At 34.6% G+C, this 25,656-nt stretch overlaps 1 protein-coding gene and 1 long non-coding RNA gene across 19 annotated transcripts in view; one reads left to right on the top strand and one right to left on the bottom strand.

Annotated features, from left to right (window-relative positions):
• MLIP (muscular LMNA interacting protein) overlaps positions 1–25,656 on the bottom strand; it is a 247,311-nt gene that overhangs the window by 93,881 nt on the left and 127,774 nt on the right. For 9 of the 18 annotated variants that reach the window (XM_047419509.1, NM_138569.3, XM_024446581.2 and 6 more), the window contains 5 exons: positions 23,273–23,344; positions 11,968–12,033; positions 11,801–11,884; positions 11,601–11,660; positions 2,828–2,872 (listed from right to left, as the gene is read on the bottom strand). In XM_047419509.1, the coding sequence (XP_047275465.1) occupies positions 2,828–2,872; positions 11,601–11,660; positions 11,801–11,884; positions 11,968–12,033; positions 23,273–23,344 (327 nt within the window). The remainder of the gene's footprint in view (positions 1–2,827; positions 2,873–11,600; positions 11,661–11,800; positions 11,885–11,967; positions 12,034–23,272; positions 23,345–25,656) is intronic. The other 9 variants (XM_024446580.2, XM_047419511.1, XM_017011470.2 and 6 more) reach the window with 4 other exon arrangements.
• LOC105375097 (uncharacterized) lies at positions 1,671–24,894 on the top strand. The gene is made up of 3 exons (XR_001744172.2): positions 1,671–1,755; positions 2,191–2,245; positions 24,817–24,894. It is a non-coding gene; the product is annotated as an uncharacterized LOC105375097 (long non-coding RNA).

The following is a 25,656-nucleotide window of genomic DNA, read 5'->3' as shown; positions in this document are numbered from 1 at the left end:
CAGTGAATGGTACTCTGTAGACACTCAATAAATATTTGTCGAATCAATGAATAGAGGTGGAAAACTGAATAACAGAGCTAGAAATAGTGACTAGTATAGTCTTGATCCATAGATTATATACTATACCTTTTAAATTTTATTTTTTAATTGGCAAGTAATAATTGTACATATCCATGGGATGCATAGTGGTGTTTTGAGACATACAACGTGTAGTAATCAGATACATTATACTTTTAAAGAACTCTCAGAAATAGGAATTTTCAGTAGTCAGTACTAACTTGTTCAGGATATCCTCAAGTGTAACAAAACTTTTTTTTCTTGGCTCTAATTTATGTCTTCCCTTTATTCAACCTTCTCTGTAGTATAGGAGTTGGTAACCTGCACGATCCCTGCTTTTGAGTTTAATCTAAGAATATCTACAAAGTCAATGACGCACTGAATCCCAGCAGTTATATACTCTGAAGATGACAACTTTCTCCAAAGTTTGAAGACAGATGATGAAATATTGAAATGTTTCAGAAATAGACTTCTCAGAGTTGCTTTTTAGTTTTCATGGGAGAAGAGAGAAATATATAGTGATAAATTAATTAATTAAATCATAGCTAGTAAACTCATACTTAAAGTGAGACATCCCATAGCTCAGTCAATATGAATATTAGAATTTTTAGAAGAAAATATTACAGTATCATTCTTTTAAAAAAACAGAACATATTGTATTTAAGACATACAAGATAAGCTCTTGTTCATTTAAGACCAAAGCTTATAGCTAAAGTGAACTTCTGCTCTAAAATTTAATCTTTTCTCCTCAAACTAAATGTATCAGACATCACTTAGTAAATTGTAATAACTACAGCCAAATATGTACAAATATGACTAACCCGAGAGTTGGCGCCAAACTAGTTTTGACCTTTCATTGTAAAATGATCCTTTATGGTCTTCCAAAAGACGTGGACGTGTTTTAGTGGCCACAAACAACAATTCAAATGTCATGTTGTAAAATAAAGTGAAAACAAAGCTTCTTACATAGGAAACGAATTTTAATTAAGGTCAAGAATCTTATCTGCATTAGAGTTTATATTTGTTCTAGCCTATACTGAACCTGTTTGATGGTTCATTCTTAGCTTTGAATGACTTAAAGGCTCTCACAACATTAAGGGCATGAAAGTTAACCTACTTTAATTAAATCTGATAGTTGATTGAAAGTAAATAATACTTTGAAATAATTTCTAACTATGGAGATTGAAGAAGCCGCTCCAGAATCATTTCAATTGCTACCAAATTAACCCCTCCCAGAGAGGAATGGATAATGACATCAACCCTTTGAACCTATTGAAAACTAATCTAATTAGAGACATTTTGCTGAAAGGCAAGAGTAGATAAAAGAAGAAGGAGAGAGAGCAAAAATTGCAGCAACTTTTTTGGGGGGTCTGGCTCTTGTAAAATGTATTAGTCACAAAAAGTATAGAAACACCTTTAGGAAACTTTCTTTTCTTGTACCCACTAACGACTCAAGGAACTCAATTAAATCAAGATATTTCTAGTCTTCCAAAGATAGATAAGAGGAAGAGAAGAAAGGAGATATGAATAAAGGAAAAAGGGAAAGGAAAGGAAAAGCTTTTAGTTATTGAGCAATTCCTTTGTATCAGAATTCCATTAAGGGCTTTTCATAGATTAGCTAATACAAATCTTACATAAGAAAATTATTAGTATCCCCATTTCATAGATGAAGAAACAAAGGCACAGAAAGGTAAAATGGTGAGTAATTTTCCCAGAATCAGACAGTTATCTAAAAGCAACACTGTGATTTTAAACTCGGGTCTAGTCTACTAATGCCTTCATTCTTTTTAAGTATTACTCCAAATGGCTTCCAATAATAATGAAAAATAACAGCAAAACTTCCAGGAAATGCTCTAAGCAGTGTTCCTACCCACATCCTCTAAACATAATTTTCTGGATGTGATAAAATTTAGTAATTTCACCCAGTTTATTACTTGCCTTGGGGAGATTCAAATGAAGGCAGAACTGTAAAAATTACAATGATGATATGACACAAAATACACATTTAATAACTATTTACTCTTCATAATTATGATAAAAACTACAAATGTGTAACTTAAATGGAATAGTTTACTAATTTGTTTTAGACTTAACACTAAACACTTACTAAGGAGATAATCTTGTTTCTACTAGAATACGTTTGGTCAGAAGCAGAAGTTGACCACATGATGGAAAATACAATTATTAGGTGAGTGAACACTGGCCTTGGGATGAGGCTATGCAGGTTTATGTCTAACACACTCAGAGCCAGCTACTCATAATTATTTGAATTGAATGTGAGTCTATATCTATCCACTATATCTATCCACTTTTGCTCATAAGTGGAAATTGGTTTATTTGTTAATAATTTAAATGAAGGAAAGCAACAAAAGAGTCAAAGTTGATTAAACTGGCAATCCCATTAGAAATGGACAAATCTTAATGTTTCAAGTATATGAGTTGACTATTCTATAAGCATAATAAACCATTACAAAAATGAAAATGTCATCTAAGTGTTGATAACTAGAAAATCAGGAAGCAGGTGTGGCAGTTCTATTTAGCTAAACTAATCCAACTAGACCTCACTTAAGGACAAATTTATTTGATAAGCTTACCTGATGTTTTATCTCTGACATAACCTGATTTTCTGTATCTGCAATCATATCATCCTACCCTTCAACTTATAAAAAAACAATTAATTCTATTTAAATTACTGTATAATAGTGTTCTCTCTAAAGCATACACAGGCACCCATTTGAAAAGCAGTGTGTATAATTATAAAGGTACTTACATATTTGGTTTCTCGACCAGCTGCTCTTGGAAGAGTTGTAGGAGTCTGTATGAAAATAAAAACAATTATACATCTGAAATAATAAAGTAAATAATAATAGACTCAACTTCTGGAATGTGTTCACCTTCTTCTCAATTGAGACTTTCTAAACATTGCTCTCTCTATACAATATCATTTTTTAGAAAATTATTTTATAAAATGATATCACTTGATTATTCTTCTCACTGACTTTATCAGCTTTCTGGTAATTTCTCCTTATTTATTGATGATGTCAACTCATGGATCATAATAGTTCTTTCCTCATGTTTCTTCCATAATTTTTGCCTATTTCAAAATTCATGTAGAAATCTCTGTCTTTTCCATTTTTTGAGCTCCTCAATTACAAAGATGTTCTCATCTACTCCAATTCAATCATTCACTCCCAGAAAGCTCCTTAACTTTACCTTCACCAGTAAAACAGAAACTGTCAGAAATTTCAATTACAAATGTCCCACACTCAGAACTCTACCTCCTATCCACCATCTTCATTTCTCTAGTGCTACTAGTGCAACATCCACATCATTGGGACTTCCAAATCACTGACCTTCATCAGCTTTATTCTGGCTTTACCTCTTATCTCATATTATTTAATATTATAAGCCATTTTAATACTTTCACTTTTTTTAATCTTCCTCTCTTCCTGTGACCAGTTCACTTACAAAAAAAAAAAAAAAAAAAAAGACCTCAACCCTAAATTGACCTTACCATCCATTTTTCTCCATACTTGTATCTGAGAAGCAAAACATTGTTGGAGAAACTCTTTCAAACAAACTAATTAATTTTATTTTAAATTAACAATTATCAATTTCAAATGTGCATTCAGTACTGCCCGAAATTTTTCTTTTGTAGGCCCACTTTCTGAGATGAAATAGCTATTTGATTCATTCATCCATTCATCCACTCAATACATATTTGTGTATCTACTGTGTGTGCCAGTCACTGTTCTACACCCCTGGGACTTATTGGTGAACAGAAGAGACAAAGATGTCCTGCCATTGAGGAGTTCACATTCTGGAAGAAAAGAAATAAGCAATGAAATCATAAATACGTGAATTATATGTTAGAAAGGAATAAATGCAATGAAAAAGAGTAGAAATAATTTGAAGCCCAGGGTAATATACGCTTCCAGATAAAAATTTATTTGCTTCTACAAAATACCTTGTATTTTTCTGGAACACCTAGATGTTAAGGAGGTCAAGAGTGCTGGGAGTCTACAATTTTAAATTAGATGATCAATGTTGAGAAGGTGACATTTGAAGGAGACTTCAAAGACTTGAAGGAGTAAGGGAGTTGAGTAGGTAGTATTCTAGATAAAGAGCATTCCAACAAGAGGGAACAAGTGCAAAGTTTCTAAGGTGGATTTTCTCCTCTGAGAATGTTGGATAGAAAACTGGAAGTAATCTTTCCATAAAGGACAATAAAAAATCTGACCAATATATTGAAAAATATTTAATCAAAAACATCAATGAACTAAAAAGAAAGTGAATAGTTACTGGGCAAAATCAAAAGAGGATGGGAACCTGAAGAGAGAAGCCCAGCATTTCAGAACTGCTTTTGCCCTGGGGATGTTTGCAAATAATGATGAGTTGCTTGAGAAGCTAACCCAAACTTTTGATATCTCACAGGTATAGAGAGAGAAAGTCAACCAGGACTTGCCAAAAACAGATTGAGCCCCTAGGAGTAAGAGTGACCCAGAAGACACATGGTCTTCAGCCTGATATCAAATCATCTGAAGATGACTGTCTAGAAAAAATAATCTCAGAAACTTAAATTAAATTCAGGTAGTTTTTTCTGGCTAGTGCTCCCAATGTCTGACAGAAACAAAGAAAAGACTTTCTATAAAAGGTAATATCATCTGAAGTCTCCATTTCTATTAAGAAATTTTCAAATAGGATATCTAGCATACAATCAGATTCAGATACACAAAAAGGCAAGACAATGTGAATGAGGATGAGCAGAAATAATAAACAACCAAAAAAGACCCACAGAGATTAAGAAATGTGTCTTTTCAGAACCAGACTGAAAACAACCATACTTAACCATGATTTTGGAGATAAAGGTTAAGCTGAAAATTTTTCACAGTATGCTAGAAACTATAAAATGATCACTGATATAACTGATTTGAAAAGAAACTAAATGTGCTAAGACAGGGGCATGCTTGACATATCCAAGGCACAACAAGGAGGCTACCAGGGATGGAGTGAGTAAAGGAGAGAGTTGGAAGAAAGCCAGTCACAGAAGTATTGGGGCACCAGACCATACAGGACCTTGTGAGGACTTTGCTTATATTCTGAGGTTTGAAATGCGTAAGCACTTCTGGTTTTAAATAGAGGAGGGTCATGATCTGACCTAAGCTTTAAAAGGTTTTCTGCGTTTGATGTGTTAAGAATAAACTATTGTGAGTCAGGGGTATAGGGACAAAACTCTTGTACTATCCAACAAAACACAGTGGCTCAGTAGTGCAGAAGCCATGGCATAATCATAGTCGACATATTCTGAAGCTATAGAAATAGGATTTCTAGCAGAAGAGATGTGAAATGTGAGAGAAAGAGAAGAATAAAACATGACACCAAAGTTTTCGGCCTTGAGCAAATGAAAGAGCGAAATTCTACCAACAGAGATGAGAAGGCAACATATGGAATCATTTTGTGGGAGAAAATCTAGATTTTATTTGTATGCATATTGAGGATAAGACATTTGTTAGAAGTATAAATGGAAATGAAGATAGGTATTTGGAAGTCTGCAGTTTGAGAAAGAATCCTGGACTAGAAATAGAGTTGTCGGCATATATGTAGTTAGTTTTTATAACATAAAACAGGGTGAGATCACCAAAGGAATGAATATAGAGAGGAATGAGAAGTTTGAGGACTCATGACTAGAGCATCCCAACATTAACAGTTTGGGAAGAAGAAGATGAACCAGCAAAGGAGACTAAGAAATGATAATAAAAAAGGGAGATAGAGGAAAAACAGAGAGACTACGGAGTTCTAAAATACTCTAGAGGAAAATATATCAAAGAGGAGGGTGTGAGCAACTATCTCAAGTTCTGTTGCTGTCATCTCAACTCAGGACTGGGTTTATTGCAATGCAGAGGACTTCAGGAACCTTGGAAAAAGGGGTTTTGGTGACATAAAAAAAGGGGATCTAAGAGGAAACTGGAGAAAAGGAATTGAAAGTAGAATATATAAACTTTTTTTAACTTTTTCAAATTCATCCCCATCACAACTTCTCCCCTTAATCTTGGTTAATGATCTTACATTTTACTTCATTGAAAGGTATTAGTTATGAAATAACTAAAGATATTGGTTATAAAATTATTTCTCTTCCACCAAACTACAAACATTCTTGCATCTGTAGCTGTCATGTCCTTTATTTTCCATCCTGTTACAATGGAGGACATTTCCAGCTTCTTAGCAAATGGTCTTAGCACATTTGGGCCGCTATAACAAAATATTATTGACTGGGTGGCTTATAAACAACAGAAATTTATTTTCCACAGTTCTGGAGGCTGGGAGGTCTAAAATCCAGGCACTAGCAGATTTGGTGTCTGGTGAGGGACCACTTCTGGTTCATAGATGGTGCCATCTTGCATGTCTTTACATGGTGGAAAGGGTAAGAGGTTTCTCTCTGGACTGTTTTGTAAGGGAACTTATCCCATTCATAAGGTCCCCATCCTCACAACCCAATCATTTTCTAATGGCCCCACCTCCTAATACCTTCATATATTTCAACATATGAATTCTGAGTGGGTGGGTGGGGCACAAATATTCAGACCTTTATTTCCCTTTCTTCTCTAGAATTAGTACTTCTTTCTCTACTAAGACCAATGCCACAGTATGCAAATTTGATCTTGTCATTTTCAGCTTCACAAAACAAAAAGTTCTTTCTTGACCTCACTACCAACCTAATTTCCTTTTCCTTTTAACGGCCAAACATTTCAAAATAGTTGTTTTGTTTTGTTCTGTTTTTACGTATTCTACACCTGCTTTCTCATGCCACAACACATTTAAACAACAGAGATAAGGAGATCAATGGGGTGAACTGAGGGGCTAAAATCTGAGGGTTGTAAAGAGGTAACGATGAAGACAATATCAAAGTGGTCCTTCAGCCTTTGGGGAGAAAATAGTTAACTATAGGTTTCAACAACTGGCTAGCTTCTGATGAATCTTTCCCTTGATCCCTTCTCAGCAATGACGACTGGGACAGCTATTGGAAGAGAAGAATATACCATAAGCAGAGGTGCAGGGAGGCAGAAATAGAGTCAGGGTCACCAGGGTGGAGAGGAAGTGGCAAGTGGGAACTGGTTGATACTATGGCGCTTCTCCCTTCTGAAGCACATGCTCCTCCTGCTCTTAAAGAATAAATAAATAAACCTCACCAGAACTGGCAAGTGCTAGGACTTGGGCTTCAGGACCTGCCACCCCAGGCACCAGGCATATATACACCCAACTTAGCTGACATGCTCAGGGAAATTTGAGTTTCCATGGAAACATAATAAGACATCTGAAAAACTTAAAAACTATAAAAGAAAACAATGTTTCCTCTATTCCACTCCTAAGTATTTACCCAAGATAAGTGAAATCATATATCCATACAAAGTCTTGTTTACAAATGTTCTTGGCAGCTTTATTAGTAATAGCTCCGAATTAGAAATAACCCAGCCATCTATTAACTGGTGAACAGATAAATAAAGGATGGAACATCCACACAGTGGACTACTAATCAGCAATTAAAAAAAAAAGAGCTACTGATCCATGCAATAATATGGATGAATTTCAAATGCCTTCTACTAAGTAGAGGCTAAAGTGACTACAGACTATATAATTACATTTATATGATATTCTTGAAAAGGCAAAAGCATAAGAACACATGAAAAGATAAGTGGTTTCTCAGGACTTGGATTGGAGGAAAGTATATACTAAAAAGGAGCACAAGGAACTTTTTCAGTTGATGGAAATGTTTTGTTTGGAATGTGGTAGTAATTATATGATTGGATTCTTTTGTCAAAACTCAGAGCTGTAAACTAAAAGGATGGAGTTTACAGTGATTAAATATTACCTCAATAAATCTGATTTAGAAGAAAAAGCTATGTTAGCTTCAACAAAGAATGTAATACAGGAATTGAAGGAAAGAATAGATACTGACCAAAATCTTGAACTGGAATATTAGATCAAGGATTCCTCTTGAAGGAATCAGAAAATAATAAATAGAAAAATATGAAGAGTAAGAGACATGAAATACAGAATCAAAAGTGACAAAATCAGTATTGTGAGAGTCCCATGTGGGAATAAATATTTGTAAAAATAATGATCAAAAGTTACCGAAAATGTAAGGGGAAGAAAAGATTGAACACTTCATGTGAAAGGTCATAGAAGGTAACAATCAAAATATGTAAGAAAAAAATGCATACCTAAATACACCATAAAAAATATCTGTAAGATCATACATAAAGTTTTAAAAACTATAGAGCAATTCTGTAAATGATCACTCTATAGCAGAGGACCAAGTATCATGCTGACAAAATACTTCGTAAGTATGTTGTTGAAGACAAAGAAGCCTGGGGGAAAATGTTGAAGAAAGAGTACCTACAATTTTATTCGCAGCAAAACTATAATTTAAATGAAAAGACAAAATAAAGATGTTATCATGAACAGAGTTCACAAAATCTACACAAAAAGATCTTGCTTTATACAACTTGAAGCAAGATTCCAACAGGAAAAACAATAAATCCAGGAAAAAGCTTTGAATGTGTGCAAAATAAGGATCTAAATCAGAAATAAGTATCCAAACAAAGGAAAGATAAAGAAGTGTTCAGACATAAAGTTCAAAACAATACTAATAAATTGTATATGTATGTGCTTGTGTTTGTATATACAGGTTGATTAAAAACAAGTAGAAAGTGAAAAGTGCTATAGTACTTACAAAATTGTGGGAAAAGGCATTTACATGTTTTAAAATTGATACAAAATTAAGCATAATAATTGTCTTTAATAATGTATATGTAACTACCAGAAGTAACAAGGTATAAAGTAAAATTTTCAAAATGTTCAAACTAGTAAATATCAAAATTGCCTAAGGAAAGCAGAAAAAAACAAGAGAAATAAAAACATTTTAAATAGAAAACATGAAATAAGATAGCAAAAATTCACCCTAACATAACAAGAATTGCAATAATTATAAATGGCTTAAAGTCCCTGGTAAATAGAATCTAATTGAATGTAAAAATTATATGCAGAAATATGCTGCTCTGAGAAAATTAGACAAAAGGGTATGAAAAAAAGGAAAGTAGCAGTAAAAGATACATCTAGGAAAACAAGAATTAGAAATTATAAATATAAAGTCACTATTTTAATACTCAAGAGAAAAACCTTAAGTTAAGAAATGATTATATATGCTGATAAAGCTTCTAAAAACTCAAAAACGAGAATGAATGCCAACACATAAGCACCAGCAATATGGTTTCAAAATATACAAGTCAAATCTAATAAACACTTCTTTAGACTTATCTTTCTCTGACCCTTGGCCGCAATCAACACAATTATATTCGCAAACACTCTCTTCTTATAGCTTCCATGATATCACATTGCTCTGATTTTCCTCACCATAAAAGCCTTTTCATTCTCATTTGCTCATCTCCACCTCCTTTGTCAGACCTGTGATGTTATGTTCCTTGGAACTCTGTACAGGACGCTCACGGTGTCTATGTGCCAATGACCCTCAAATATCTCTGATCAGCTTCAAACACACAGGTTTAAGCTTTCTTGATAAGCACTTCAAACTCATCCTTGTCTAAAATTGACATAACCCTCTGCCTGCCACTATACAGCTCTTCCTTCACTGTTGTCTATCCTCAAAACAGAGACCTGCAGTATTCTCTCTCCTTCACTACCCGCACCCAAACTCTTGGCAAGCCTCAAACCGTCATGCTTCTCTAGCTCTTCTGAACCCACCCTATCCAGACCACCATCACTGACTGTTTCCCTGACTGCAGCAGCCTCCTCACAGCAGCCATATTTTTCATCTTCTACGGTTTCATATTATTCCCACCATGGTTCTATGTCTCCCCATTTTCTTTGGAATCCAAGCTTCATGCCATGGCAAATAAGGGTTTAAATCACAGTGCTTAACCCAGTTTCTCAACATCATTTGCACTGTTCATCCCTAGCTCAGTGGACAGTAAGCTCATTGGCTAACTTCTTTATTTTCATACACACTAAGCTCTTTCATGCTTCAGGAAATTTACACATGCCTGTTTCTCTACCTGAAAGCTATTATTCCTGATCAAAATTTCTGTGGCTGGTTCTTTTCCATCTTTGGGTCTCAGCTTGAATTCTACCCCTTGATCACTACATTCAAAGCTTATACCTTAGGTTACTCAGCCTTGCTTATGTTCCTAGTGCCTTGCTGCACCAGACTTATGGTAGGTGCTTAATAAATACCTGTTGAATGAAAAATTGCCTTAAATGTAGTGGCCTAAAATACTGGGTTTTTTAACACCGTAAGCCTTAAGTATTTGTTAAAGAAACCAGTAATATAGATTACTATTCATATACAACTTCTTAAATCCTATTCTCATTATATTTAATATAATACAGGTCTTTTACATGTTCAATGAATGAAATATGAAAAAATATATTTTAAAATTGATATAATATATTTGACAAATCAAAGTTTTAGATTAAAAGGCTTAAAGCATATACAACAAAATAGACTTCAAATACAGAAATTACAATTATCCACCTGTGAGTCCTCTGCTAAAATATAATTAATATGACAATAATTGATTACTGGGTTTTATATGTCATTACTAATGGATATTTATTGATAATATTCCAATTGAAAATTAGGATTGCTCTTCTAGTTATGTGTAGTTCTGTACATTTGAAAATTACTTTAGACACACAGTGTCCCATATTTTAAGAAAGGACAGGAAAAAAGTATACTAATTCCAAGGAAATAAATAAATAAGGCTGACCAAAAAAATCAGTAGCTAATAACTAACAATTATCAATAAAGGAAAAATCATACGCATTTTGAAATTTGGATGAGTAGAGCTTAAGTGTTTGAAAAAAATAATTTGGAGAAATGTATTATTTTATCCTAACAAATGAAAATAACTATTTTATAAGAAGGAAATACATACTCAATTACAACAATTAATAGTTTAGTAGTACTCTAACAATCTAAAATATCCAGTTTTATTTCCCTTTGAGTCAAAGAATAATGAAATAGATTCAATCAGCAAAAAGAAAAAGAAACTCTAGAAATAATACTTCCGTTAAAGCTCTTAATACTAATTTTACTTTAGTCTACTTCATTTTTTACTTCTCTATTTTTAAGTGGCTATAAATTCCATAAATAATATTGAATCTATAATTTGAGTGAGAATGAGCCACACATTATACATTCTAAACATCAATGTAAAAAAAAAACATAGCCTAATATGTTGGCTTTCAAACTGTTTTGAACTGGACCCACAGAAATAGATTTTACTTTGCAACCCTGTATACACTTACCTTGCATTATATGTGCACATGTAAACAAATGTCAACAAAACCTATACATTACTTGAAATCAAGTCTAATATTTACTATCTTTAAAATTCTACAAAAAAGACTGATTGCTATTCACTAAATTTATTTCTCAATTCACTATTGGACCTTGACTTGCAGTTTGGAAATCATTGATCTAATAAATCTTATGGTTCCATAAATTATATTAAATACATACATACTTTGACTGTGTCAGAACCCAACAATGTCTTTGGGGACCTTGAAGGAGAATCAGAAGAATGCTGAAAAAAAAAGAAAGGAAGGAAAGAAGAAGAGAAAAGGAAAGAAAAGGACAAGCCTGTGAGGCATCATACTAAAGTAGAGGAAAATGAAGAGAAGCAAAGCAAATGTTTGAATTGCACATTCTAGTCTAAAGCATTACCATAGACAAGGAATCCTGTAAGACCTTATCAATGGTAGCACAGAGCTCTTCAGTTTGCTGCCTGAGCTGTGCAGGAAAATAGAGCTGGAAGAATTGAAACCAGGTACTGGGTTAGCAATAAGTTTTGGAATTGCATACCAAAAGCAGGGGTAATCTGAAGTTATTACCTCCACTGGTGGTTCTAATGTGTTGTCCTTGGAGACACTTTCAGTCTTGGCTGGTTCATCTAGTGCCTAGTGACAAATGAAATAGTTCTTATATGAGGCTTCTAGTCATACAACTGGAGTAGAAAAGTATCTTCAAAGAAAGCCTTGTATGTATTAATATTCCAAGAAAAAAATATTTACAGTATTTGATGAGCTATTCTTTAACATGAAGACATTTTTCTTTTAGGTCTTAAGTTTAAGTGTTTAATCCATCTTGAGTAAATTTTTGTATAAGGTGTAAGGAAGGGGTCCAGTTTCAGTTTTCTGCATATGGTTAGCCAGTTTTCTCAACATCATTTATTAAATAGGGAACTCTTTCCCCATTGCTTGTTTTTGTCAGGTTTGTCGAAGATCAGATGGTTGCAGATGTGTGGCATTATTTCTGAGGCCTCTGTTCTGTTCCATTGGTCTATATATCTCTTTTGGTACCAGTATCATGCTGCTTTGTTTACTGTGGCCTTGTAGTATAGTTTGAAGTCAGGGAGTGTGATGCCTCCAGCTTTGTTCTTTTTGCTTATGCAGTCAATTTGGCTTCAGACTCTCTGTCTCTCTAATGATGGGAACTAGCCAAAATCTCTATTCCATTGTTTTCTCCTCAGCTGGGCCTAATGGGCACATTCAATAGTTATCCAGAGATTTGGGCAGAGTTTATCTACAACATTTAGGGATCCTTTTGGCACTCTCTTTTCCAGATTCTCCCCTACTTTCTGGTTTCTGTATGACCTTACACTCTTCTCTGTTTCCTCATCTAATACGTCTGCTGGGTTGTTGCTGAATTTTCACTACTTCATTGTGACCAGATAAGGGACTACCCGTAAGGTGAAAAACTATAAAATCTAGAAACCAACCTAGTGCCATATTTTTCTTGCAAGCGTTGACTCTACTGCAGTTTCTACCTGCCTTGGTCATGCTTCAGTACCTTCAGATAGTTTTTTATATTCTTATCCAGAGTTTATCATTGTTATCTGTAAAACAGTTGGTCCAATACAAGCTACTTCTCTATTTGCAGAAGCAGAATAAGGCAAGCTAATTTTAAATTAATTCAAATTTCGATTTTCAGCACATATTTTCTTTATCACAGAGATTGTATAAATTCAGTCTCAAACCTGTCTCAGGGTAGGCTCGTGACTAAAGGTTATTTTTTCCTACCCTAAGCCTAGATTGATATAAGAAAATCTTATGGCCATTCACAGTGGCTTACACCTGTAATCCTAGCACTTTGGGAGGCTGAGGCAGAAGGATCACTTGAGCCCAGGAGTTCAAGACCAGCCTGGACAACACAGTGAGATCCCATCTCTATAAAAAATTTTAAAAATTAGCTGAATGTGTTGGCATACACCTGTAGTTTCAGAAACTTGAAAGACTGAGGCAGGAAGCTGGATGAGCCCAGGAGTTCAAGACTGCAGTGAGCCCTGATCACACCACTGCACTCTAGCCTGGGCAACAGAGTAAGACACTGTCTCTAAAACAATAAAAATTAAAAAGCGGGGTTGTCATTTCCCTTTGAAAATTTTTTTTTTTTATCATACTTCTTGCAACTGAGAGTGTAACAATTCAAAAATCTTGATTCTTAACGGAGATGCAACTCCAGTTCTCTCTTACCAGAGCATCAGCACCATGATAAACGTTCTGAATTTCAGCCTGCTTTTAGTATTTGACCCTTGGGGATTTCCCCCACTTTTTTTTATGAGCTCAGCTTTATACTGGGTTGAACACACACAAAATTGTCAGTATTCAACTGAAAAATACTTGCCAAGATGGCAATTTCATGTGGCTTGACTTGTTTTTTAATCCATTTTTAAATTGATCATCGATTATAGGTATTTTACAACAGGAAGTTTTTCAAGCAATCTAGTTTCAATATGCTTTCAAAGTTTGAAAATCTATAGCTAGAAAGGTTACACAAAAAATATATGCCATGGGTTCTGAAGACAGTTACAAAAGAGGTTACCAAAAATGCAATAAGCAATTGTAGGCACAAGACAGTTATTTTCAAGAGAAATATCGTCGCTTGAATATATATGTTCTGGTAGATTTGTAAACAGAAAAAATCAAAGATTCAGTTCTCTATTGTCATGTATTATATAACTTTTTAGAATTACAGGTTCCCTTCTCCTCTTATTTAGATTTGCCACCTATTTCTCATTTCTTTATTCCCATTCTGAGGTAGACATATCCTGACAGAAGGTGTTATGCCACCTGTGAAACCATGGAATCCATTGCTCATCAAAATCTCTTTTCCTCCTTCTAACAACCAGGGATCTCCATCCAGAACTATTAGCCTTGACCAAGAGGTACCAGGTCCAGATGCTAGAACTGCCATTTTGGCATGGGATATAACCCTAAGAATTCAGAAAAGTGACTTTAAAAGATAAAATTTTACCATCCCATGTTTTAATAGCTCATAAGGGTAAATATTGTCTGGAAATTTTGTTTTCAAAATCCACTTCTCTGTATTAAATAACAAAATTTGGAAGGTTGGTTATGATAATCTAATAAAAACATTCAATATTGCTTCTTTCTTACCATAACAAAAATCTATTTTGTGCTTTCTTTCATCATTCTTTAAAATTATGATTAATCATGAGAAATGATTGGCAGGAACTGAAAATTTCATAAAAATAACTCTTCACTGGTGTTCAGATGGTTTAATATTTTCCTGGCATGGTGTTTCAATCACCTCCTGTTCACCTTGTTAAAGGGGGAGAGGTTCCTTTCCTTGTGTTACAGGGATAGAAGGTTACATAACTGTTGACACTGTACAGATAAAATCCACAACAGTTTGTTAGTCACATATACTCACAGTCCAGGGAAGGGGGATGCCACAAAACATGCAGGGCCACATGGAGGTCACAATAAGGAACAACCAGGGGTTGTGGGTATCCAGAGAGTAATGCACCCCTGGTTCCACCAAAGGATATGATTGGCTTGTTTGAACTGGAACCTATTACTAAGGCATACTCAGGAATTCCACCTGGTCAGTTGGATAAGGAGGGTTGTTTGGCTAGAGGACCTTATCTGCAGGAGCAGAGTGAAGAGGGGAACTTGCAATTAGGCCATTTGAGGCTCTCTCAATTCTAGCAGATGTCAAGGTAGCACACAATATTGGGCCTTACTTTTAGGCCTTACACCACATGCGACCTCTACTATAGAGAAAATTATGGAAACAAAAAATGTCAGAAATTAAAGACCAGGATTAAGAGCCAGCTCCTCAGGACAGGATTTTGTTCTGGCCCTTGCTCACCATTCCAACAGTGCCTTTCATATGCTCCTCACTCAAAGGCTGCTCTTTAACCACAAAGAACTGCTTCAGTTCTTTGAACTTTTGGTGATCTTTTGAACTACATGTGATTAACTCTCCCTAGATCCACTCTCAGTTCACTTACAGAATTCCTATTCATCCTGAAGATCCAAATCAAACTCCTTTATAACATCTTTCTTGGCCTCACACCAGGCAAAGTCAGCCATTCCCTGTTTGGGGCACCATATCACTTTGCACATATCTTAAGCATATTGCATCATAATTACTTTTTAAACTATATCTTTACCCTACTGGACTATTTGTCCTATTAGACTACAGAAAATATGATATTTATCTTTGTAGGCCCAGGATAGAGAATATGATAGGTGCTTAGTGAAGGTCTTTATGATGAATCACTGGGTAAACCAATGAATAAATGAAGTTAAGTTAAATTAATAAATGAATCATAGAAGTAATATGATTTAAATACTCCCTGGTAAAATGCTCTAGAGAAGTGATTTAAACTCTTTGAGTAATTTAATTGACAAATAAACTATATCTTTCTCTATATTACAGTTAAATTTGTTTACCATCAAAGATTTGAGCATATAATCAATGCTAGTGCAATGCGATTATTTCCTTTTTCAAACCAAACCAAATAAGACTAATATTTTAATTAGTCTGTGGAAACTTACTCTGGCAAACATAACTTTTATTAGGTTACTTGTGATATTGAAATTCACTCAGAGAATGACAGAACTATCTACTCAGGTCCCTTGGAAAACTATGGAAGATAACAGGTGTTAGGTCAGTAATGCTGAAATTCTGAAATGGCACAAAATACTCAGGCTGTATTTTTAAAAATTGGATGGGGGGCTTATTTTGAACTTAAATAGTCTTGAAATTTACTAGAATTGATTTTTTTAATTGACTGTGCGTTACTTGTCAGATGTATCATTGTGATATACACCACTTCTAGCAACCATAAAAAGTAGCTTCTTTTTCTATCGTCCAAAATTTTCTCTTAAAAGCATACTTTAAATCTCCATTAGTAAGAATTCTGACCAGAGATTGCTTTTTGGCAAGCTAGCCAGCAGGAAGATATTGTTTCTCTAGATTTATTCATTTCGGGTAAAAGTCTCTTAAAATATTATCTAATAAATTATTGTTATTAAAAATATACATTTTCTACCAAATTGGACTACAGAAATTGAGGCATAAATGGAATATTCTTTGAGCTCATTCATCTTAAAGAATTCTTAACTAATACAAATAATCAGAAATACTCTCATTACAAGTGTTGGTAGTTTGTTCAGAAGTGCCAACTTTGGGGCCCAGCTTTTGAAAAGATACCAAATAAATCTCATAGCAGAAAAGAATTTCTGAACTTAGCACTACATTAAAATTAGGAGCCAAGAACTATGAAAAAGCATTGCAAATCAAAGTCCTTGTGTAAAAGTATGCCAATAAACTGTAATGGGTATTCCCAGTTATGAGTGTCCCTGATGAAACTGCAAACACTTTTTAGTCAAATATATGGAGTTAGTCTAATTTGCTCCCTTAAAATATAGGATGAAGTTCTAAAAGTAGGGAGTTGGAAAGTAAACTGCCTCCAAAGGAAGAATGATCTAACAGAATCTGTAAACTTTTTGTTATACTTAGACTATCTATTTGATTGAATTTCAAAAATTTCATTCCTGAGTTATTAGATTTTAGTAACGATCAAATCAATCCCCCAAAATTATGTATAGCCTAAATTCTCCTATACTTTGTTAATATGACCTGCTATTTGGTAGAATAAATCCCCTAAGGACTACAAAATACTTACCGGACTAATATAAAACCATGTGTAGGATAGTAGATATTGTTAGAAAAATAAATCTCACTTTGATTGTCTAGTTGGGGATTCAGGTCTGAATAACATACACCACTGAAGAAAAGGAAAAAAAGTACACTGCAAACCAAAGGAGCTTGCAGGTATATAAAGTAGGGTTTCTTTAAAGATCTGGGAATATTTGCCAGTAAAATATTTTTACATGATTGGTTTAAAAATATCAAGAACTGAAGAACTCTAGTTGGTGATTTTACTCCCAAGAGCTTTGGAAAGTTAAATGTTTGTTCCTCCCACAGAGAAGGGAGTTTTTGCAAACCATTCCAACCAGTTTCAAACCCATTCCAGCAAAGCTCAATGGTAGGGGAATCTATACTTTTTTGCATTCAATTAAGGATGTCAGAAGGGTGTTCTTTATTTCCAGAAGCACCTCCTTCACTGTAATTTGCCTCATCTCTTTCAGTAGCTCAAGGAATTGAGCTGGTTTGTAATCCATCACTCTCTCAAGTCATCTCAGAGCCACATTATTTCCCATTTTCTTTTAATTTTTCCACATAAAAACAAAATACTCTTCTTGCTCTCATTTAATGAAGATATAAATATATTTTAGCAAGTAATGAAAACAAGTGTTGTAGGCAGGGATCCCATATGAGCATCCCTTACTCAATAATTCACTGTAGCTAGCTGATGTCACTGTACAGTACGGAACAGGGAAGGCTGAGAGCCAATCAGAGCTCCTCTGAGGTCCAATTTAGCAACTTAGTAACCTTGATGCTTTAGGGAATTTACTTGGCTTCTTTGAGCATCAAATTCTTCACAGAGTTGTGAAGATGAAAGCGCACTTAGCTCAATGTCTGATACACTAGAGTATTCAATACGGCAGCCTTTGTGATTGTATTGTCTAATCTTCAAAAGTGCCAGCTTACTTCCCCTCCAGCAGAAGGCTGTTCTATAAGCTTTTCCATGGAAGTAGAATTGATGAGGCTTATTCTGTCCTAAAGAAAGATCCTTTGCTATTTTTGTTTTGATTGGCATACAGTAGTCTACTTTATTTTTTTTATGCTTATGAGCAAAAATTTGCCTTAAGAGCCTGTGGAATAAAATTGGAAATTTTAGAGACCTATCTGGCCCCAAACTAAACTTATTTATTTAATGAACATTTAGTAAAGAATATAGTATATCTGCCTCTTCAAGAAGTTCAAGATAGAGAAAGAAAGCAATAAATATGCATAATTAAATACAATTTGATAATTTTTTTAAATTATGCACATAGTAGACAACTACCCGAGAACCATTTACCATAGATTTGAGTCCTGGACTCTTCTCCATTATTAAAGAAATTGGGAACACATTTGCCTCTTGCACTAGAATCTAAATTAAGCAATGTTTCTCTAATATAGGTCATGTGCTAAATTAGCAATAAGGTTTTGTTAAATTTTTAAGACATAAAGATTTTTTTTTTTTTTTTTTGAGACTGAGTCTCACTCTGTCACCCAGGCTGGAGTGCAGTGGCGCGATCTCGGCTCACTGCAACCTCCACCTCTCAGGTTCAAGTGATTCTCCTTCCTCAGCCCCTGGAGTCGCTGGGATTACAGGCATCTGCCACCATACCCAGTTAAATTTTTTTTGTATTATCAGTAGAAACAGGGTTTCACCATGTTGGCCAGGCTGGTCTCGAATTTCTGACCTCAGGTGATCCACCCTCCTCGGCCTCCTAAAGTGCTGGGATTACAGGCATGAGCCATCACGCCCTGCCAAGACATAAAGAGATTTTAAAATATTCTCACCTAAGGAAATATCTTTAATAAGATTGGAGTTTAGCAACTCATGCTTTAAAAAATTAAATAGGCAACTTAGCTGGGTGTGGTGTTGTGTACCTGTAGTCCCAGCTACTCAAGACGCTGAGGCAAGAGGTTTGCTTGAGACTAGAATTTCAAATCTAGCCTGGGCAACATAGCAAGACTCCATCTCAAAAAATGAAACAAAAAAATCAAAGAGGCAACTTAGAATAAATAGACTTGACAGTTGACAGGATATATCAAAATTTTGCCTTTTTCTTTTTATGCCGTCGTTTTTATTAGTTGTTAAAATAACTAATTTTATATTCCTTGCACCAAAAAAAAATGTTTTTCCTATAACTTTCCATTTAAAGAATTAAACCTGTAATTATTTTTTGCTACTTATAAAACTGAGCTGCTCCAGAATTCTTCTCTTAAGTACACACTTCTTATGAATCAAATGTATCGTGAAAATGGCAAAGAGTAATGCCATTTATTAGGAACATTGTACCTAGCCCCAGCCCTAATTTTATCCTCAGAAATACTTATGAGGAAGTAAACAGAGAGTTTAAATTACTTTCAAGGAAAAAATTTATATTTTCATGGAAAAATATTAATCATTGGTAAGACAATAAAGATGCATATTCTTTGATTTTATGGAAATATTTCTTCATTCTCTCCTCCTTTAACAACTACATGATAAAAATAATAATCTATTTACTTGGAATATTAATATGTGTCAAACAGTTTAACTTTTTACCTATTGCTATCAGACTCAGATGATAAGAAGAAAAACTAGTCAATGAAAGCGAGACCTTTAACTTTCTCTAAAAAAGACAGTACACATCAAGATATATCACAAGACTGATATGGTTTGGCTGTGACCCCTCCCAAATCTCAATTTGAATTGTATCTCCCAGAATTCCCATGTGTTGTGGGAGGGACCCAGAGGGAGGTAACTGAATCATGGGTGCCAGTCTTTCCCATGCCATTCTCATGATAATGAGTAAGTCTCAGGAAATCTGATGGGTTTATCAGGGGTTTCTGCTTTTGCTTCTTCCTCATTTTCTCTTACCACCACCATGTAAGAAGTGCCTTTGATTCTGAGGCCTCCTCAGCCATGTGGAACTGTAAGTCCAATTAAACCTCTTTTTCTTCCGGTCTCAGTTATATCTTTATCAGCAGAGTGAAAACAGATTAATACAAAGACTAAAAATAAAGTCCATATCAACTTATTTTATCTACAGACCTTAGTATATTGTTGAACATATTGTAATAAAGTCTATGGACAGTCACAATGTAATCTGATTACTTTATAATCATTTGCATTTCATCCTCATGTCATTCTTGGAGAAGATGATTATTGGCAGGAGGTTAAGCCAAGGACCCTGATGAAGCCAACACAATAAAAATCATACCTTACATTTATCTCTCCCTAGAAATCCTTATTTAAGACTTAAGCTATAAATGCTTCCTTCTTAAAGGTTCACAGGGGAAAAATGATAGAATATGGAATAAGATATAAATTTAAATTTTGATGCAGACAATAAATTACAGAACAGAAGTACCAGAAACCTCATGTTCCCTGCCAACAAAGTGTACTCTTTTAAAAATGATGGGCTTCATCCAGGGTTGATTAAAACTGAAACCAATCCAGTAATTCAACGAGAGCTTAACATCTCATTGCAAGGGATGCCGGTATTTCAATTAGGAAAAAATCTTGCTTTTAAAAATAGCATTATTTTTTAAAAAGTAAATCTGGTTTCTCATTAATTATACTATATGCTGTAGAAAAGAATGTGGCATAAGATACCCATCATGGGTTTAATCCAATTGGAGAGATAATTGTTGAAATAGCTAAGACATGAATTATTTTTGTTAGCTCCAGCTTCAAGGCATTCCACAGCATGGACCCTACCCAAGTATTATAATGAGTCTACAACCTTACCTACCCCTGAATTGTGGTGTTCTGTGTGATATCAAAGGGATCTCAGAAAACCTTCTGTGATTTAAAATATTGCAAGATTTTTATTCTTCCATAAATAGAAGAGTTCCTCAAGATTATAGTCCTAATTTTCCCACTCAATTCAGAAATAAATCCCTTTTATTTCAGTGGCATTAAGATAAAGTCTATTGTATAAACAGATGAGTATAAATGATTAAATTGTCAGATTTATTTTTTAAAACTATAACACTGAAAGGAACAATACAATATCATTCAAAAAATACTATTGAAAATGGAGGTAACTCATAAAACCTTTAGATAAGGCTTTGATATTTTAAAATTCTTACAAAGTAAAATTTCTTATTGAGGAACACATAACATGGGAAAGCCAGCAGAAAGTATGTGGAATAATTTAAAGGACCTAAAGAAAAAAAAATTCACTTAACATCTGAGACCTTTGAATAAGTTAAATATTTATGGTCCAAAAATTATACTAGCCAAGAGACAACAACCTACACTAGCCCTTATACAATAATGCAGCACCCTCTAGAATAACACTATTTTAAATTTAGATATCATGTTTATATTTTTTGTATGAACAATAGACATAATAATTTTCCTACAGAATGTTTTATTTAAAATTAAAAACACAAAACCTTTTGCACATGAACTTGTATAATAGGCTAAATACACATCAATATCACCATACACATTTATGAAATGGGTTTGTAATAAAATTGGAAATTAAACTAATGACTCTTCATTTTCACTGACTAATGAATAAATTATAAGCTCAATAATTTAGTTAATTGGAAGAGAATTCTGGAAACAATCCTAACAGACAGAGATTCTGGAAACAGTACTGACATCTAGTCTTATCTCACAAAAGACTTTCAGAAAGAATTAACTTTCATTTTTCTAAATAGGAAATTTACATAGTAGCAGAACATAGTTCCAGAAGAATGTGCCTAGATGAGGCGAGACAAGTATGAGGGAAAGACGAGCATGAAACAGGCTCCTCATCTCCTCTTTGCCTCACTGCTGATGGAGAGTGATTCTCCCACATCTGTGAAAGCACACACTTGTGACCAGGTTCCAGAAATCGCCATCCAAAATAAGCAGAGAGTCTGTGGTGTGGGAACTCTGCCACCATCTCCCACCATTATGGCCCCAGAGTGTGGAATAAGGGGCAATGGAAAAGTGTCCCTTTCCACAACCTCCAGAAGTCTCCTGAAATCCGTATTTTAGTCCCATCTCATCTTTTAACAGACAATAAGGGGTAGAAATTCAGGAGAGATGCTAGGGAAAAAGCTGCAGATTTTCCTGCAGCCTAGTGAACCTCCAGTTCAAAGCACTTACATATACAGAACATGGATTGGACACTACCTGTGTATAATGTGGAATTAATGTCCACCTATACACTACTTGTTCCACTAACAATTCCTACTTATTAGATAAGAGATCATACAAAGGTTTTACTCTTCAGATCATGCTAAAAGAATAAGAATGTAGATTTATAAACCAGTGATCATAATACCACCTGGTTGGCAAACAACGTTTTGATAAATGATAGTCTTTGAAACACCATAATTACACAGAAAAAAATGGACTTAGTGCATTGAGAAATAAATTGACTAAATACATAATCATAAAAATAATATATGAAATGAATAATTTCATAGACTTGGTAACTCATTTCACTTTGATTCTGATATCAATCCTCTACTTGGCTTTCATTTAAACATGCGTAACATATTTATTAAACAAGAGGCTTCAATTTAATTTACCTACTTATGTAACAGCCTATAATTTTATTATTAATGACCCTTAATAGCAAAGCAAAAATCTCTTGGAGTCATGTGAAAGCAGTTGGGTCACTGAGAGTCATCTCAGTCTTCCCTTCTGTTCATGAAAGTAGGACCACTGGCTGGCAAGAATGGGTGGGTGAAGAGGTTTAGTCCACAATGGAATCTATGAGGCTAAGTTGAATACTCAGCTATAATATCTGAGTATCAGTATAGTACAATGGTGGAAGCCACTGTTAGTCACCAAGTCTTTACCAGTCAACAACCCAAGGTGGCCAACTGTTCACAAACAATCCCATTTCACCTCAATTCTTTTGATCAATATGGACAGATATGAAAGTTCTTGATATGGAAGTTTTTGAATATAATAATTATTTAAAATTCCAAAGAACGGAGATCTATCCAAATCTGAATCAAGTTTCCCAAAGTAGCTTGACAGTGGACTAAACATCCCTAGGCTCATATTCAGTCTCTAGCAATAAACCAATAATATCTCCAATTATATTCACCAAAATGTTTTCACCACATCATCCTAAACTAAGAATGGAATGTTATTTTAGTAAAGGCAGAACTTTAAAACAGAAATCTTCCCAACAGAAATTTTAGAAAACATTTTAAAAATCACATTAAAAATGTAAAATTCACTGTTTTTGAGCCAACACTGACCTTCTGTTCCAAAAGCAATGTGTTTGTAGGGATTGCTGCAAAAGCCTTGTAGCTTGACTTGGTCTTGTATTGCTAGAATGGGCAACCAGAAAGCAAGAGTAGAGATGAAAATGGGAAAGAATATGACATAATTTTCAGACAGTTCTACCAAGTTAAATGATACGTTATCAAATGAAGAAAAGGGTTATTATGCTGAACAACTTGTTTCTGACAGAAACAATTAGCTTACCATGTTAATATTTTATTAGAATGAGAAGCGAAGAAATGCCACAGTAAAATATCAGCCTAGAGATTACAGGCAACTATATGCCACTCCATTTCAGAGCTTAAAAACTTCCTTTACACAAAGTTATATATAAATTTTTCATTGGCAGCATTCCCTAATGGGAGTACTATTCTATACATGAGGACAGGAGATGGCTCTGCTTGATCCTCAAAGGAATGTTTCTTTTCTACAGTGTCACAATTAACAAATATTATGCCAATAAGTGTAATTGAGCTCTTGATCATTTTCTTGCATCATCCGTAAAAACAGAGATCAAAATACATAAAAATTAGCAGCCATTTTTTATACAAGCAGCAAAGTAGTCAATAATTTGAACATAAATAATATCAGCAATGTAACTCCATAAAGAAAAACAAAAAGTACACACTCTTGATCTTAAACTCATTTTTTAAACCTCATCACCCCCTGCACCTTCTAACAGTTATGTTAATGAAGCAAATGTTAAAATTTCCTAAGTGTTAAGTACAACTCAGAATAATACAGTTCAGTGTTGTAGAATATCTGAGGGAGATGGGTGAGCATGAGGAAGCTGTAGAAATCAGGATAAATATGCATAATCAAAAACTCAGTTTTGATACTGCTCTGGGTCTCCAGCTGATGAACTGAGTTCAAGGCTCCTGTCACTTCAGATGCCCTTGTCTCAGGCAGCTTCCCCAGTGGCCAGTACCAGTGAGGAAATTGGCACAGAGCTCCAGGCTATCTTAGTGTCTTCAAAAGCAAAACAAAGTGTCTGCAGAAGACAGTGTCATCAAATAAAATTAAACCTTGGGTTTTATAGATGTAATTGAAGGAAGCTTCATTAAAGTGGGGTGGTGAAGGTAAGAGGCTAGCACATTTATTTTCCTTAGGAAAAAGTTGAAGTCATGAGGAATCAAAGTGCCAGACCCAGAAGAAGAAAGTCAGCATCCAGCTAACAGCAGAATGCATTCTCTTTTTCACTGTTTTCTTTCTTTTCTTGGTATACTGAGTTAGATAATGAAAAGGAATTAGCAACCCAAGGCCTGCATGCCAGCAAGTGTCATAGAAAGTCACACTAGCAAGATAATCAGTCACCCACAAATACATGCTCACTTACACACTCTGATTCATACACATGAATATATACATATATACATATGTACTCACATACAGACACACACACAATCATTCAGAAACACGCACTCAGCAAAACGTGCACAAGAGCTCCGAAGCTGCACACTTTTTCCCAAAAAAGTACTCTGAATGTTTACTTATCTTCCACTTTCTCTCCTCCATATAGCTCTTCTCCCTCATAGGAAGAAGCTACGTCGCTTTCTGCAAGTCTCTTAACTCTTAAGGAACCTACACTCCCATCTCCTACATGAGCGGCAATTGCTAGAAGATGTCTCAGGTCACTTCAAGCCCTAAGTTGCTACATTAACCCTGCACTGCTGTGGTCTCTAGACAACAAGATATTTGAAAAAGGACGGAAATTGAAATACTATCTTTCCATGGGAGCTGACATTTATTACTACGTTGACATTTATTACTATTACTCATTTAATTTTACAGAAGTCCTATAACTAGACAGTTATTAAGAAAAGCAGAGGTCAAATGACTTGTCCAAGACCACGCAGCCCATAAAGAGCCTGCCTGTGTCCAATATACGTGCTTTCTCTATAATATTTTCTTCCAAAGAATACCTAAGCCTACATGTAATGCAGAATAAAATATACCATCTCACTCTATGATGGTTTTATGAATAGTTAATTGTAGTTATAGTTGCAATCATAATAACAATATCTAACAATCACTATGAGCCAGGTACCATTCTAAAAGCTTGAGTGAATTAACTCACTCAATTGTCACAACAAAGCTATTAGGTAGATACTATACTATCCCCATTTTATATATGGAAACTGAGGTACAGAAATGTTAAATAACTAATCGAAGGTCACCAGATAGTGCATGTCAGTCCTGGCTGGAATTTGGACACAGGCACTTTATCCCAACAACTATGCACATATCTACAAATGCCCTTGCTTCTCATTTCAGGATGTGTAATCATTTACAGTGCTTGTTCTCCTATCCTCAACTTCCCTAAAGAATATAGCTGGGAAAGCCTGTACAGAGACATATC

The sequence above is a fragment of the Homo sapiens genome, chromosome 6, assembly GCF_000001405.40.
Source record: "Homo sapiens chromosome 6, GRCh38.p14 Primary Assembly".
Taxonomy (NCBI): domain Eukaryota; kingdom Metazoa; phylum Chordata; class Mammalia; order Primates; family Hominidae; genus Homo; species Homo sapiens.
This window is presented reverse-complemented; position numbering and strand designations above follow the sequence as displayed.